This window comes from Homo sapiens, chromosome 8 (assembly GCF_000001405.40).
Source record: "Homo sapiens chromosome 8, GRCh38.p14 Primary Assembly".
NCBI lineage: Eukaryota > Metazoa > Chordata > Mammalia > Primates > Hominidae > Homo > Homo sapiens.
In genome coordinates this window covers 92,909,133-92,927,290 of record NC_000008.11, presented here as the reverse complement: position 1 = coordinate 92,927,290, position 18,158 = coordinate 92,909,133, and the positions used below count along the sequence as shown (strand labels likewise).

General features: G+C 31.5%; 1 protein-coding gene across 14 annotated transcripts in view; it reads left to right on the top strand.

The window, feature by feature from the left end:
* The window catches only part of TRIQK (triple QxxK/R motif containing), a 134,132-nt gene that overhangs the window by 90,375 nt on the left and 25,599 nt on the right, over nucleotides 1-18,158 (top strand). For 5 of the 14 annotated variants that reach the window (NM_001171799.2, NM_001171797.2, XM_024447136.2 and 2 more), the window contains one exon: nucleotides 10,281-10,362. In NM_001171799.2, the coding sequence (NP_001165270.1) occupies nucleotides 10,302-10,362 (61 nt within the window). In that variant the 5' untranslated portion in view covers nucleotides 10,281-10,301. Of the gene's footprint in view, nucleotides 1-5,630; nucleotides 5,789-10,280; nucleotides 10,363-18,158 lie in introns of all 14 variants that reach the window. The other 9 variants (XM_047421713.1, XM_017013347.2, XM_047421711.1 and 6 more) reach the window with 3 other exon arrangements.

Sequence of the window (18,158 nt, the reverse complement as noted above, 5' to 3'; positions counted from 1 at the left end):
GTATCCTAAAGTTTTCTGTCATGCCTATCTGGGAAAACTTAAATTTTACTTACTCTAGTAGACTACCCTTCCCTATGTCAGCACTAGGTAGCTAAGCACTCAGAAAGAAAAATATTATTTGCAATCAGATAGTCCAGTGCTATAATAGATTCATTTTTTTTGTAATAGGTTACAATTTTTTTTGGTCTCTTGGTGTTGCCCATAAATCCTGTTTTCATTTTTTATTTTTATACTTTTTAGAGATGAGGCCTCAAGTCTGTTGCCCAAGCTGGAGTGCAGTGGCATGATCAGAGCTCACTGCAGTCTTAAACTCCTGGGCTCAAGAGATCTTCCCACTTCAGCTTCCAGAGTAGCTGGTATTACAGGCACAAGTGACTGCACCCAGTTAATCCTGTTTTCTTTAGACAACTCTTTCCATTCCTCCACAGCATTAATTCCAGCTCTGCACTTGCAAACCTCCAAACTTCCCACCTTTCCTTTCTCTCATAAGGAGATAATCTTGCCTTTTACTTCATAGTGAAAACAGAGCTACTGCATAGATATCCCTCTACTTTTGGTTACCAGACCTCAAGTCTTATGTATAATTTTGCCTGTTATTTTCTCTTTTTCTTGTTAAAGTGACTCATGGACGTAGTGTGCTATGATTATTACTTGAAATGAATACTGGATTCTATGCTTTCATACTTTTTTTTTCTGTATTTTCACCCTCTCACTTTCTGGTTGTTCCTCCCAATTATTATTTAGACCAACTCAAATTTTCATCTTTAATCAGAAACAAGCCCTAAAGAGTAAAAACAAAGTATAACAAAAAAAATCTCTTCCTCAACCTCAGTTCCTTTCTACTTACTATGCTATCTGTCTCCTTCCTTGTATTTATTTTATAATGGATTGGTCTGTAATTTTCATTTCTGCTTTCTTACCTCTCACTTATTCTTTAGCCCATAGGAAATATTTTTTTCAAGTATTTTCAAGGGAGTAGAGGTCACCATTGTCAAGTGATGCTACAAGAACAAATAACACTGATGAATGACCATTTAAGTACAGAGACATCATGGTTTCTTTTTCTCTGCATAACATTGTTGAGATTTATCTCTATTGCCTATGTTCAGTATTTTTTTTTTTTGGCTTGGTAGTATTACACTGTATGAATAAACCACAGTTTATCAACTCTTCTGTTGATCAATATTGGGGCTGCTTCCAATTTTTTTTTTGGGGATGTAGTCTTGCTCTGTTCCCCAGCTGGAGTGCAGTGGCGCGATCTTGGCTCACTGCAAGCTCTGCCTCCCGGGTTCACACCATTCTCCTGCCTCAGCCTCCCTAGTAGCTGGGACCACAGGCACCCGCCACCATGCCCCCAATTTTCAACTATTATGAACAAAGCAGCCATGACCATTTTTGTAGAAAGTATTTTTGTAACCATATACATTTATCTCTCTTACATAAATATCTGAGAATAGAAGTGCAAAAATTGCTGGTAGTTAACTTTGTAGGAACAGTCAATTTTATAAAGAAGTTGTACCAGAAATTTCAGTTGCTCCACATTCTCTTCAATATTTTGTATATGAAATATTTTTTATTTGAGCCATTCTAGTAGATATGTAGTAGAATCTCAGTTCTAATTTTAATTTGCACTTTGCTGATTACTACTGTTGTTAAGAACTTTTTCATGTGCTTGTCATTTATATATCTTATTTGCTGAAGTTTCTAGTTCCTGTTCAAGTTTTTGACCCCTTTTTAAATTATTAGGTTGTATACCTTACATTATTAAATAGTTTTTTAATGCATTCTGGATGCAAATTATTTTGTCAGATACATATGTTATGAATACTATCTATCTGTAATAACCTATTTTCTTATTGGTGTCTTGATAAGCAAATATTAATTTTGATGTAATCCAGTTCATCCTTTTTTTCTCTTTTATGATATATCCTACTATGTTTTCTTCAATAAATATTTGCCTCTACAAAGTCATGAATATAATATTTTCCCTAGTAACTTTGTTGTCTTAGCTACTTCGTTCAGTTGTATGATCTATCTTCAATTAATTTTTGTGTATGATATGAGATAGGGGTTAAATATTTTTGGTTGTTTGTTTTGTTTTTCATGAAGAAATATATTTGTTCTAGCACTATTTCCTAATACTGTATTTTAGTTCCGTAGTTTGGCTGGAAGGTGAGTCCCAACGACTAAGATTTCTTTTCTGGAACATGACTTTTTAGGTTTACACAGATAAGTGTCCTGTACTTACTTTTTGTATAAATTTTCATATCAATGTTGGCAAGTGATCAGGATTTTAGAAATCATCTTTTTGCATATTTCAGTTTTTAGATACTTTTTCTGAGGCTATAAAGGACATTAGTTTGTCAAAGTATAGGTGAACTGGGCACTTCGATCTCTGAAAACTTTAGAATAACAACTGTTTAGCTCTCCAGTTTTATACAGTACGAATTTGTTCCTCAGTGTAATAACTTGTCTCAATGACAATATGATAATACTATTAATATGAGTAATACATATAATTAATTGAAATAATTAATATGACTTATAATATTGAAATAATTAATATTACTTATAATACTGCATTTTAATATTATAATTGTGTATACCTTGTCCACTTCACACTTGATAGTCTTTCAAAAGACTTTTTTTTTCATTTCCTTAAGTGTGGAGAACTATCTCTGAATATCTGAATCATGAATGATGCCTGTTAGGCAAGATCTGAATGATTACTCAGAGATGACTCTTGTGTGCAATATTACAATATATAGGTTTCACAAGTGGGGATGTATTGAAAAGACATTTAAAGCAAATTGCAGAACATAGTAAATTCCTGGAAACACGAATGAGCTTGTCAAAGTCAAGGAAGTAAAAGCTGAATTTCCTAGTGCACTGGAACATGAGAAAGGAACACATGACAAATTCAGATCATTAATAGTTCTTAATATTAAGGATTTTTGCTTTATCTAGGAAATGTGTCATCATTTCAATGACTTAAATATGTTAAGTGAATGAACAACTTTAAATTTGTAATACTCTGGAAATGGTTAATGTGTGATAAGATCAGGGACAAATATCTTCTGTGTTTATTATATCCTCAGCATCTAGCATGAGGTTGTATTTTCATGATTGGTTCTCAACTTTGATGCAGCCATAACCAAATACCTTTTCTGCCTAACTATAGCTTCACGTTTAGCGAAGAGTTTTCTTAGTAAGTGTATTTCTTTTAGCCTTAAAAACTAAGATAATTATTTTTTCTGTGGACATGGGTTGAACTTTTTTTAATAACCTGTGTTTTGATATGTATTTAAATGTCACAGTCTGGATTTAGTGCTTTTTCTGGAAGCAGAGACATATGTGAAGGCTTCAGATTTCTTATTTCTTTACTTGTTCTTTCTGGATTTCATAAAAAAGGTATAAATGAGCAATAAAATAACTTGGTCGGAAGGTGATTGAATATAATACTACTTTTGTTTTTAAAGGTCACATATTATGCTTTAAAATACAGTTCGCAAAATTGCTCTGGAAAATTCAGGTTAAGAAAGCATACTAAAAACAAGAATGCTATGTTTAATCTTAAAAGTCCTAATGAGTGTAAAGTTTAATTAGATAAAAATTAACTGAATTATTTTAATATCCAATTTAAGTATTAAATAAAATCAGCATTTTTCTTCTTTAAATATGTGTTATCAAGTTTCAAGAATGTTGGAAACTTCTGTGATGATTTAATCTGAAATCATTCCTACAGCAAAATTCATAAATAATAAATATTATCTTATTAATCCATATTTCAGTTTAGCTAGGTCTCAGAGCAAGTTAGTTCCTCAGGGAATGCAGTGTTCTTTACAAAAGAAGGTGATGAGACATAATCTCCAAGGAATTAAATTGTGAAAACAATCTTGGTATTGTACATGCTAATATAAGTCTGTTATTCCCTTTCCGCATCTATCACAACACATTTTAAATTGTGGCTGATCTTGTATGCAAGTAGCTGTCTTATTAGAAATTGCGGCTGTATGTGCTAATGTCTCCCTGGATTTCTTGGGAGTTTGCTATCTAACCATCAAAGCAATAGAAATGAATGATGATTACTGCAAGGCTTTGAAGAACAAAGAAAAGTCAGAACATTTTAAAGGTTCTACATGTCTGAGTCATTGACAGTTTGCATCATACAGATGAATAGGTATCTCTTTAGGTCATTTAAAATAGCCTCAATGTGTTTATTAGTAAGGCAAAATGCTTTCTATTTTTTTGTGTGTTTCTTGCAGCTAATAAAATGTAAGTAATTTATGTAAGAATGTGTTCTATAAGCATTTTTTGTTTTATCATTTGGTAAAACGTTATTTTACTTACTGTATAGAATATAATAATTTCAAAGACAATGAGAAAGTTTAAATTTTGAAATTTTGATTAAATAATACCAAACCACTAAAAATAACTAGAACAAAAATTTTAAACCAGTTTTTCTCTAATGTATCTTGGTTGAAATTCTTTTATAGCTTTTATATTCAGTGATTATTATACCTATAAAATGTCTGTTCATAAAGCATAGGCCCCTCTGAAAATTTAGATTCTTTAGATTTTTCCGTGGCATAATTTTTAATGTAAAGTATATTAACATATAAGTAAAATTCAGCTACTTTGGTAAAAATATATTTTTGATAAACCTCTTACTTTTTTATTTTCTGTAGGTAGTGAATGAATAAAGTATTGACTTCTGAAGTGTTATCTCTGCTGGGATGTTGGCTTAAATGACTAGAAAGGAATTGGGGGAAGCATAATGAGTAACCATTTTGGCAGATAGCCTCAGTGATTTGCTTTAAGAAAAAATTAAGCATAGTCTGTAAAGGCAAAAAACAAAACTAAATTGAAAAGGGAATAATATCTTGAGTGTTTATTCATTTAATCCAACTTCTCTCCTAAAATGGAGTGGTATCTTCCCTAGCCACACACAATTAAGATTAAAATAACTTGATTCCTATTTACAATTAATAAATGCAAAATACTATGCAAATAGGATTGCTATATGAATAAATTATAATGTATCTATTGACAATTTTTATGGTGCTTGTCTTGACAGAATTATTTTTAATGTTTTGAATTATAAGAAGTAAGACTATAGAATTAGGTGCTGTCTTGATTTTATTGCTAGAATTTTAAAATGTTTTCTTAGATGTAATAACTACATGGTTTATTAGAGATGAAAATTTAACTTATTTGACTTTGTCATAATTTGAATATTCCTAGATATTGCAATAATACCATGAATATGAAGATTATTATGATTAGAAAAATAGGTTTTTAGCTGAACTTATAACTTTGTCACATATGGATAAAAATTATTAAGTTGGAGATGGCTTTCACTGTATTGGGTGGGATCACTGTTAACTATCTGTGTGACAATATATATAGATAAACAATACAATTTTGTCTGGACAGATTTCAAATGCATTTAGTGTTTTAGAACCTTAATAAAGCTCTTTAGAAAAATTACAGTTTGATAATTGCATCAGTTTATATGGAAACATCTATACTTGTTTGTTTTAGTTTCAGTGATGACAACTATTGTAACAAATAAATGCGAAAAATGTATAGTACTGCAAATGCTGCAAATTTATTTTTTCTTATCACAGCAATATGAAACAGAAAAACAAGTTGGTTGGATAGCTGTCCTCCATGCAGTCATTCATGATCCAGGCTGTCATCATCTTCATCACTCATGTTCAGAGTTACCCTAGAGGTCATCTCCATTTCATCCAGATAAATGAGTATGCAAGGAACGTTTTTATAGGTCAGTTCTAGAAGTAGGAAACATTAATTTACTCACATTCTGTTGGTTGAAAATAAGTGATGTGTCCACAACTAACATCAAAGGAGGCTGGGAAATTAGTCAAGAGTACCCAGAGGAAAAAAAAAGGAGAACATGTATTTTAGTGAGTAGCCAACAGTTTTTTTAATAATTTATCTTTCTGGCACGGAAATAACTATGCACATTATTTTTTTCTGTCTCCCCAATAGAGAGAACCTAAACATCTAGCATTTATTGCTTCTAGCTCCAAGCCAAGGATCTCAAGCTAACACACAGTCCTCTCTCAATTTGCCTGTGACATTTTTCTACTCCTCCCCAGCATCACAAAACCCCTAAGAAATAATGATTAAGCAGTGGATAACTGCTTTATACCTGCAATAATCATTCCCATTTATAAAGGGAAGAATGGAAAACAGCCACAGGAGTCATTGGTCCATTGTGATGATAAAACCTCTGCTCACGAGACCACTGAGAAGATCCACTATACTGAAATAGAAGTTTCAGTTTATGGTCTTTTTGTCCATTCTTCATGGCTCTCCCCTCTGGATGGTTATTCCTTTCTAGTCATGTGTGAAGTGGATGTTATAAACTCTATAGAGTTTGCCTTCCTTGGGTACTGCTGTATATTGGTTTAAATGTAGAGGCCCAAAAGTTGGCTTTCATTCAAAGACTTTTTTAGATTATGTTTCTGGTTTCTTAGTAAATATAGTTCCCTCACATTTTAGTAACCTTCTTACCATTTCTACTCAGTTGCATGTGCCAATAAACACAGTGCAATTTCTTTCCTAGACCTAATTCTCATGTCCACTTTCTTTCTGTGCTTTAGAACTCCTTGACTTCTCTTTTTCTACCCAATAGTGTCTGCTTTGAAGTAATCTGAAATAATAGGCTCAGGTGAGACAGTGAAAACCCCTAATCTGCTCTTTGTCTCTCTCTCTCTTTTTTTTTTCTTTTTTTTTAAGCTGATAAGTTTTCATGGGTCTTTGTTCTTCAAAGCCTGTTTTCATTTTTCTCCTGTTGGTTCTCAGAAGAAGTTGGCTTTTCCAACATTTTTAGCCCCAAATTACTGGACTTTCTATTCTCTATATTTTTGCTTGTGACATGACTAGTTCTTGTCTGACTTCATCTTCATCTTGTAATGCCTTACTAGAAGGAATGAGGAACAACTTGCAGACACCAGTTTGAAGAATACTTACGACTGTAACATTGTATTCTATGAATAATGACATATTGTAATTGAGGCTAGGAAATAGAGTCTGTGCTAGGAAGAAAAGGAGAATATGAATGTGGTAATCAGGTTGTACTCTCTGCTGCAATATTTAAATTCAATAAAAATCATAAAACTTATAGAGCAGAAATAAATTTTAATTGTGACAAAAAAATACAAAAAAAATCAACAAAACAAAAAGTTGTTTTTTGAAAAGATAAGTAGAATTAACAAACCTTTGCTTGCCCAAGGAAAAAAAGGAGAAAACTCAAATAAAATGGGAAACAAAAAAGAAACATTACAACTGATACCACAGAAATGCAAAAGATCATTAGCGACTACTAAGAACAACTATATACCAACAAATTGCAAAATCTAGAAGAAAAGAATACATTCCTGGGCATATAAAACCTATCAAGATTAAACATGACAAGACAGAATAGTTGAACAGACCAAAAATGAATCATGAGTTTGAAGCAGGAATAAAAAATCTTCCATCAAAGAAAAGTCCAGGACCTGATAGATTCATTGCTGACTTCTACCAAACAGTTAAAGAACTAATCCCATTTCTACTAAAACTATTTCAAAACATTGAAGAGGAGGGAATACTGCCAAACTCATTTTACAAGGCTGGCATTACTCTGATACCAAAACTAGACAAGAACACAATAAAAAAAAGGAATACTACAAGGTAATATCGCTGATGAACATAGATGTAAAAATCTCAACAAAACACTACAAACCAAATTCAGCAACACGTTCAAAAGATAATGCATCATGATCAAGTTGGATCACGCCAGTGATGCAGGGATGGTTCAACATACACATATCAATAAACATGATGTATCACAACAGCAGAATCAAGAATAAACACCATACGATTATTTCAGTAGATGCTGAAAAAGTATTCAACAAAATTTAACATTCCTTCATGATAAAATTAATCTTGTTAAAATTTCTCTACTACCCAAAGTGATCTACTGATTTAATGCAATCTCTATCAAAATACCAATGACATTCTCCACAAAAATCCTAAAGAACAATCCTAAAATTCACATGGAACCCCAGAAGATCCCCAATAGCTGAAGCAGTTCTGAGCAAAAAGAAAAAAGCCAGAGAATCACACTATCTGATTTCAAATTATACTACAAATTTATAGTAACGAAACAATTGGGTACTGGCATAAAAATAGACACATAGATCAATAGAATAGAACAGAGAACCCGGAACTAAATCCACACACTTAGAGTCTACTCATTTTTTATAAAAGTACTATGAAGTTACAATGTGGGAAACGATTGTCTCTTTAATAAATGGTCCTGGGAAAACTGGTTTCTATATGCAGAAGAATGAAAGTAGATTCTCTATCTTTCATCATATACAAAAATCAACTCAAAATGGATTAAAGACTTAAATGTAAGACATAAAACTATGAAATGACTGGAAAAAAACATTGGGAAAACACTACAGGACATTGGTCTGGCAAAAATTGTGGGGGGGGGTAAGATCTCAAAAGCCCAGGCAACAAAATCAAAAATAGACACATAGGATTACATCAAGCTAGAGAGCTTCTTCACAGCAAAGAAAACAATCAACAAAGTGAAGAGACAACTTACAAAATATGAGAAAGTATTTGCAAAATATTCATCCAACAAAGGATTAATACCCAGAATATATAAGGAGCTCAAACAACTCAATAGCAAAACACAATTCAATTAAAAATGGGCAAAAGATCTGAATAGACATTTTTCAAAAGAAGATACAAATGGCCAACAGGTATTTGAAAAACATTCTCAACATCACTAATCATTAGGGAAATCCAAATTGAAAGCACAGTGAGATATCATCTCATCCTAGTTACAGTGGCTGCTATCAGAAAGGCAAAAAATAACAAGTGTTGGTGGGGATGTGGAGAAAAAAGGAAATGGTCATACACTGTGGGTGAAAATGTAAATTGGTACACCATTATGGAAAACAATATGGAGGTTCCTCAATAAACTAAAAATAGAACTACCATATGATCCAGATATCCTACTCCTGGGTATATATCCAAAAAAAGGAAATCAGTATATGGAAGACATATCTGAACTCTCATGTTTATTGCAGCATTATTCACAATAACGAAGATATGGAATCAACCTTAGCATCCATCAGTAGATGAATGGATAGCAAAAATGTTGTCTCTATACACAGTGGAATATTATTCAGCCTTATAAATGAAACGCTGCCATTTGCAGCAACATGGATGGAACTGAAGGTCATTATGTTAAGAGAAATAAGCCAGGCACAGAAAGACAAATATTGCTTTTTCTCACTCATTTGTGAGAGCTGAAAAAGTGGATCTCATGGAGGTAGAGAGTAGAATAATGGCTACCAGAGCCAGGGATGGGAAGTGGGTAGAGGGTAGAGAAGTTGGTTAAGGGATACAAAAATACAGTTAGAGTAGAAGGAATAATTTCTAGTATTCAATAGTACAGTAGGAAAATTATGATTAACAATAATTTATTATGTATTTCTAAATACTTAGAAGAGAAGTTTTGTTTTGCTCCCAACACAAAGAACATGTAAATAAGGTGATGGATATCCCAATTATTCTGAACTGGTCATTACTCATTGTATACAGGTATCAAAATATTACATATATCCACCCAAAGTAGGTACAACTATTGTATATCAATAAAAATAGGTAGATTAAATCGAACAGTGCATATAAGGTAATAAGCATGAAAATATTAATAAATGGTAGTAGTTTTTATTGTTTACATTAAGAGGGGCAGAACTAGAACTGAAATTCATCTGCTTTGTATGTATATGTTATGCTTTTTAAAATAAAATACAAAATACTTGAGATTCAAACTTTAGCCTTACTTTTAATGTAACATAGTAAGTATATATCCAAACTATATATACTTGGAAATAAGCATGTTGCCAAAAGTATGCCAAAAGCCCCAACCTATCTAAGTAAATACTACATGATTTTCATATTTACAGATAATGTTATTTAACAATATGGTTTAATGGAACACTGATAGTACTTGATAAGATGAATGTTATCAAAAACAAATGATTGAGAAATTTAATTACCAGCAATTGTATCATTGATAATTTATTTAAAAGAATTTTGTTTTCTTTATGAATATTTAATGGAAATAAGTCAAAGTATTTGTACCCATTGCTTTAAAAATGAATTTTATAGAATAAACTATTTCTGGATTTTATAGACACTCCTTTTTAAAAAAATTTTCATTATAATTGTTTTCTTTTCAGCAGGCATTTTGGAGATCAAAGATGGGTAGAAAAGATGCTGCTACTATAAAACTTCCTGTTGATCAGTACAGAAAACAAATTGGTAAGCAATGAATTATCTTTGATACACTCCTATTAATTGAGATAAAAACACAATTATGCATATTAAGAAAATAAATTTTCTCTAATACATATGATACACAGAAATATGTGAGTGAAAAAGGACTTTATAGAGTTTTATGGAAGCAAAATTAAATGCAGTCCTGCTTACCAGTAAAGATATGAACTTCATGTACTTACGATTTTTCAGTGCTCTTATAATTTTAATTAATTTAATAAAACAAAAAATAAATATTATTCTTTAGGCTGAATGCTTTTATATAATCAGCATTTTTGATTTTATAATCCATTAAATCATTCCTTTGTATACATATTATAACTTTTAATTCTGTTGACTCTTATTGGCAATAATTTGATAACTTCAAAATTCTCCTGTAAAATATGCTAAATAAAGTAGAACAAATGTTCTTTTATATGGAAACCTGAGTTCAGAAAAAAAGAAAGAGAATTCTCCAGAGGTCATATGTGAAAGAAGGATTAAGGAAGACTGGAAATAAGGATTTGTAGATGGAATTGAGACTCCCAAATATACTTGGACCCTCAAGGAGATACTACCCTAGTAGAACGGTGGACTAGAAAAGCTCACTTAGCACAGGAAGATAACAGGAAGCTTATCTATTTTAAATTAGGCTCTAGGTGCAGGATTTTCTTTTCAAGGATACATGGAGTATTTCTAAAAAATTACCTACCTACATACTAAGTCACAAAGAAAGTATCCCAAGTTATAAACAATCAATATCCTATAACTGCATTTTTAAATCAAATGTAGTAAATTAGAAATTAGTTAGAAGCAAAAAGGTAACTTCCCCTTCTTCACCCAACCCTCTCCTTTAGTGCACTTTTTTCCATCTGTACCATTGCTTTGGAAATACAAAATAAATTAATAAAAATAACACTTCTAAATAACTAAAGGATAAACAAAGAAGTTACATTAGAAGTCAGAAAATAAATATAAATAATTGATACCAAAATATAGTATATATCTATTTCATAAATAAGACACAAAAAGTACGCTCTATAAAGCAAAATATATTTCTGAAAAACAAAAGACATGCAAACAAAGTAAAAAATATTTGGAATACATATAGCCAATTAAGAATTTGTATAGTACAGGCCGGGCGCGGTGACTTAACGCCAGTAATCCCAGCACTTTGGGAGGCCGAGGCAGGTGGATCACAAGGTCAGGAGATCGAGACCATCCTGGCTAACATGGTGAAACCCTGTCTCTACTAAAAATACAAAAAAAAAAAAAATTAGCCGGGCGTCGTGATGGGCGCCTGTAGTCCCAGCTACCTGGGAGGCTGAGCCAGGAGAATGGCGTGAACCCGGGAACCCGGGAGGCAGAGCTTGCAGTGAGCAGAGATCATGTTACTGCACTACAGCCTGGGTGACAGAGTGGGACTCCATCTCAAAAAAAAAAAAAGAATGTTTATAGTACGTATTTAAGGTGTACAACATCACTTTTTGCTATACACACACAGAGTAAATGATTACTACAGTCAAACCAATTAAAATATGCATCATCTCACATAGTACCTTTTCTGTGTGTGGTAAGAGTCCTAAAATCTACTCTCAGCAAATATCCAGTGTACAATACAATATTATTAACTGTAGTTCTCATGTGGTATATTAGATCTATAGTTTATTCATCCTACATAATTGCAACTTTATACCCTTGACCTACATCTCTGCATTTCCCCTTCCCTCCAACTCTGCTAACACCATTCCACTCTCCTTTTCTACATATTTGACATCCGTTTTTTAAGATTGAAAAGATAAGAGAGATCATGCAGTATTTTTCTTTCTTTGTCTGGCCTACTTCACTTAGCATAATGTCCTCCAATTTCATCCATGTTTTCCCAAATGGCAGGACCTCCTTTTTAAAGGGTGAAATATATTTTTATATATGTATAAAATAATTTCTTGATTCCGTCATCTGTCTGTGGACACTTAGGTTGTTTCCATATCTTGGCTATTGTGAATAATGCTGCAGTGAACATGGTATCTCTAAAATGTGGAGATTTTATTTTCTTTGGGTATATACCTAGGAGAGAGATTGCTGGGTCATATAGTAGTTATATTTCTGATTTTTAGAGGAATCTCCATACTATTTTTTTCCATTTCTACTAAGAATATACAAGGATTCTGTCTTTTCTGTATCCTCACTAACATTTATTACGTTTTTTTAACATAGTCATCCTAACACGTGTGAGACATTATCTTATTGTGGTTGGATTAGCACTTCTCTGATAATTAGGGAGGTTGAGGACTTTTCCATGTACCTGTTTGTCATTTTCTCCATTTTCTTTGGAGAAATGTCTATTCAGACCTTTTGACCATTTTCTAGTCAGGTATGTTCAATCAAGTTGTCTTTTTTACTATTGTAAAATATAAGTTCCTTATATAATTTGACTTAACTGTTTCTCAAGTACATGGTGTACAAATATTTTCTCCCATTTTGTAGATTACCTTTTTATTTTGTTCATTGCTCCTTATGCCATGCAGAAGATTTTTAGTTTAATTTAGTCTCCTTTGTTTGTTTTTGCTTCAGTTGCATGTTCTTTAGTGTTACATCCAAGAAATCATAGCCAAGACCAATGTCAAGAAATAAAAATGAATTAAAGGCAAATATAAGACATAAAACTACTAGAAAAAAAGAAGGGGGACATTCATTCTATACCTAAAAGGCAAATATAAGACATAAAAGTACTAGAAAAAAAGAAGGGAGATATTCATTCTATACCTAATTTATTGAGAATTTTTATCATGAAATGGTGCTGAATTTTATTTTTTGTTATACCTTAAGTTCTAGGATACATGTGCAGAACGTGCAGGTTTGTTACGTAGGTATACATGTCCCATGGTGGTTTGCTGCACCCATCAACCCGTCATCTATATTAGGTATTTCTCCTAATGCTATCCTTTCCCTTACACCCCACCCCCTGACAGGCCCTGTTGTGTGATGTTCCCTTCCCTGTGCTCGTATGTTCTCAATGTTCAACCCCCACTTATGCATGAGAACATGCGGTGTTTGGTTTTCTGTTCCTGTGTTAGTTTGCTGAGAAAGATGGTTTCCAGCTTCATCCATGTCCCTGCAAAGGACATGAACTCATTATTTTTTATGGCTGCATAGTATTCCATGGTGTATATGTGCCACATTTTCATTATCCAGTCTATCATTGATGGGCATTGGGGTTGGTTCCAAGTCTTTGCTATTTTAAATAGTGCTTCAGTAAACATAAGTGTGGATGTGTCTTTATAGTAGAATGATTTATAATCCTTTGGGTATATACCCAGTAATGGAATTGCTTGGTCAAATGGTATTTTTGGTTCTAGATCCTTGAGGAATCACCACAATGTCTTCTACAATGGTTGAACTAATTGGCACTCCCACCAACAGTGTAAAAGCGTTCCTATTTCTCCACATCCTCTCCAGCATGTGTTGTTTCCTGACTTTTTAATGATTGCCATTCTGACTGTCATGAGATGGTGTCTCACTGTGGTTTTGATTTGCATTTCTCTAATGACCAGTGAGGCTGAGCTTTTTTTCATATGTTTGTTGGCCACATAAATGTCTTCTTTTGAGAAGTGTCTGTTCATATCCTTTGCCCACTTTTTGATGGGGTTTTTTTCTTGTAAATTTGTTTAAGTTCCTGGTGAACTTTGTGTTAAATGCTTCTTCTGCATTTGTTGAGATCATCATGTGATTTTTATTCTTCATTTTGTTAATGTACTTTATCATATGAATTGATTTTCATGTGTTGAACCATCCTTATAGCCCAGGGATAAATCCCACTTGGTCATTGTATATGATCTGTTTTATGTGCTGTTGAATTTTGTTTGCTAATATTTTCTTGAGGATTTTTGTTTTATGTTCATAAGAGAATAGTGGTCAGTAGTTTTCTTCGGTGTGGTGTCTTTGGCTTTCAAATCAAGGTAATGCTGGCTAGCTTTATAAAATGAGTTTGAAGGTGTTCCCTCTTTTTCCATATTTTGGGAGACTTTAAGAAGGATTTTTTTTTAATGTTTCATAGAATTGAAGTCATCTAGTACTGGGCTTTTCTTTATTGGGAAGTTTCTGACTATTGATTCAGTCTCATTTGTTACTAGTTTTCAGGCTTTCTATTTCTTCTTGATTCATTCTTGCTTGGTTGCATATTTTTAGGAACTTACCCATTTCTTCTAGTTTATTCAATTTGTTGGTGTATAATTGTTTATAAATGCCCCTTATGATCTTTTTCATTTCTGTGGCATCAGTTGTAATGTCTGCTATTTCGTGTGTGATGAGTTTTATTGATTTTTTCCACATTGTTTTTCTATTCTCTATTTCATTTATTTCTGCCAGAATCTTTACTATTTTGCTTTTTCCTGGCAACTTTGTGCTTAGGGTTGTTCTTTTTCTAATTTTTTGAGGTATAAAGTTAGGTTATTTGAGATATTTCTTTTTAAATCTAGTTGTTTATTGTTAATAAACTTTTTTCTCAGTACTACCTTTGCTGTATCCCATTAATTTTGTTATATTGTGTTTTCATTTTCATTCCTTTCAAAACATTTTCTTATTTTCCATTTGATTTCTTTTACTGAATGATTGTTCATGGGTTCCTTGTTTACTTTTCATGTATTCGTGAATTTCCCATTTTCCTTTTGTTATTGATTTCTAGTTTTATTCTATTGTGCTCATAAAAGATACTTGGAGTAATTTCAGTCTTCTTAAATCTGTTAAAACTTACTTTGTGACCTAGCATGTGATTTATCCTGGAGAATGTTAGTGTACACTTGAGAAGAATATGTATGCTGTTACTTTTGCTTGGAATGTTCTGTATACATTTGTTAAGTCCATTTGTTCTGTAGTATTGTTTAAATCTGTGTTTTTTTCTTGAGTTTTTTGTCTCAATAATCTATCCATTTTTGACTACTATTATGGTATTGCTTTCTATTTCTTCAGTTCCATGGCTGTTTTATGTATTTAGATTCTTTGATGTTGGGTGCATATATATATATATATATATGTCTACACACACATATACATATATATGTACACTCATATATACATATATACTTGTGTATGTAGATATGTATATATACATATACATGTATGTACATATATACACATATATATGTATATATGTATATTTATTTATGTACACATATGCATATATGTGTATTTTTAAATTTATAATCATTATATCTTCCTGTTAAGTTAATTCATTTATCATTATGTAATGACCTTCTTCATCTCTTGTAACAGTTTTTGGTTTAAATTCTACTTAGTCAGATATAAGTATAGCTACTCCTGCTCTTTTTGGGTTACGATTTGCATGGAATATCTTTTTCCATCTCTTTACTTTCGGCCTGTGTGTGTCATTAAATCTAAAGCTAGTCTTTTATAGACAGCATATAACTGAACCTTTTTTTATCCATTGAGACACTCTATATATTTTGATTGGTGAGTTTAATATATTTGCACTTAGAGTAATTTTTGATAGTAAGGGCTTTTTATTGTCATTTTTTGTTAATCGTTTCCTGTCTGTTTTGTATTTCTTTTGTTCCTCTCTTCCTCGCTTGGTATCATCTTTGCAATTTGATAATTTTTGTTGTGATATACTTTGATTCTTTCTATTTATCTCTTCTGAATCTAATATTAGTTTTTTTTATCTTTTCTGTATCTATTATTAGTTTTTTTTCTTTGTGGTTATCATGAGGCTTCCATAAAATGTTTAACAGTCTATTTTAAGCTAATAATAGCTTAACTTTAATAACATTCAAAAGCTCCACTCTTACTTTTTCTCAAATTGATTTTTAGCCTTGTTTCTTGTACCGACAGTGTTTTGTGTATGATATCAGTTTTTGATATTAGTATTTCCTGTCTGAATTAGTATGCAGTCAATTTTGTTAACATTCCCTGTGCTTGAAAGGAATAGGTATTCTCTAATATTAGGATTCAGTACTACTTATATTAATTATAGTTTTCAACTCTATTGTGTACTTTTTATATATTTTAGCTGTCATTTAGTGAAAAATGAGAATTAAAATACCCCAAGACTATAGTTTTCAATTCTTGTAATGCTATCAGTTTTTGCTTTATATATTTGAAGCTATGTTTTCGTTGCTTAGCATTTGTAAATTGGTATATATTTATGATAATTTCCCCTTTTCTATTATATAATGACCTTTTTATTTATAAAGTACTTATGAAGTGTCTGTTTAGACTTCTTTTTGTTTTATATTAATATTGGTAAAATACTTTTTGTTATTTTGTTAAGTACTCTTGTATTTTTCTTATCCCTTTATTTTAATCTATAAATTAATGATATAATTGATTTTTTAATATAGGTGGAGAATCTTTGTTTTCAAGCAAGCAAATTTAATTCTATATAATTTACTATGAATTAAAAATCTTGATATATTTTCACATTTTTATTTATATTTTTCATTTGTAGTGATTTTTCCTTTGCTAATCTCCGCTCTAACCTTTTTTCTTGAAACTTTTTGACTATGTTTCCTTTTTCATTCTTCAAATTTTCAACATTTTCCATTCCTTTTTTTTCTTTTCTTTTCTTTCCTTGTTTTGGGAAAGGGAGAGGAGATTCTCAAGTTTTCATAGTTGACTTAATAAAGTATATTAATATCCTTATTTAACTTAGACAATAAGGATTTTTAAACTTCTAAATGTGATTACTTTCTCCTATCTTTCACATATTTTTTTAATTGTACTTACTAGAATTTAAATAGTCTTGAAGACAGAAGCTCCATCTAATTTTTTTTGGCATCTCTAATGATGTTCACAGAAGGTACTTAATAAATATTTAAATAATCAATAAAGCAACTGTCCTAATTCTTAGGTGATTACAATTTTATATACCCTTTGTTTAACCTAACCTGTTTACATTAATTTGAGTATTTTATCATTTTTCTTGAAATAGTAAGCAGTATGTTTAACTAAATTGAATACTTACTGAAACATGTCGTTGTTTAATTTTTCTTAATTTTGCGTTTTAGGTTCCCTGTTATTCTTTTTGTTGTTTGTCTTTCTTTTACTTCTCTACATCCCCATGGGTACCTTGGATACAACCACTTCTTAAATGTTTGTGGACTTTTTTGAGTACTAATTGCAAACTCAAGATTGATATTATTTATAACATCTTCTATTTAACTATAATTCTCCTCCATGTATAAATTTTTGCTTGGTTAGCATTTTTAATATGAATTTTCTTGGAAATTAATTTGTATTTTATGAGCAACTTGGTTTATCTTTAGCAGCTCTAAGCTTAGTGCTTGTTTCTTAGTACTTAATGTGGTGTTAAATGATGATGTGTTTTCTGTAATGGTAATGCATGACAAGCTGTTATGTCCAAGCATTGAAAAATTATCATTGGTTTGAATTGTTTCTATAACAAAATTAAAATGAAAAATTTGCCCGAGATGTTTATTTTCAATGATGAATTTACCAGCCTGCTCTCTATATTCTGGATATCTCCAAATAATTTTGAGAGAAGTTTTACTTTTTGCGTAGTTTACCTTTGTAGGTAATACTTGCTTTTTGTCTTTAAGGAAATTGTTATCCTTTGCACGATTTATTAAATGTAAAGGTACGTTATGCTGATGGTAATCTCCTGGATTATTTCTGGCTTTGTAGTTATTTTCATTTTATCAATTTGATTGGTTAATGTTTTACCTAGTTATTTTCCTGTGAGCATTTGTAATTTTATTCATCTTGAAGGTGTTAAAATGCAGGCCATTTGTTTACTGACATAGTTACTAGAGTTTTTTTAACAAGAT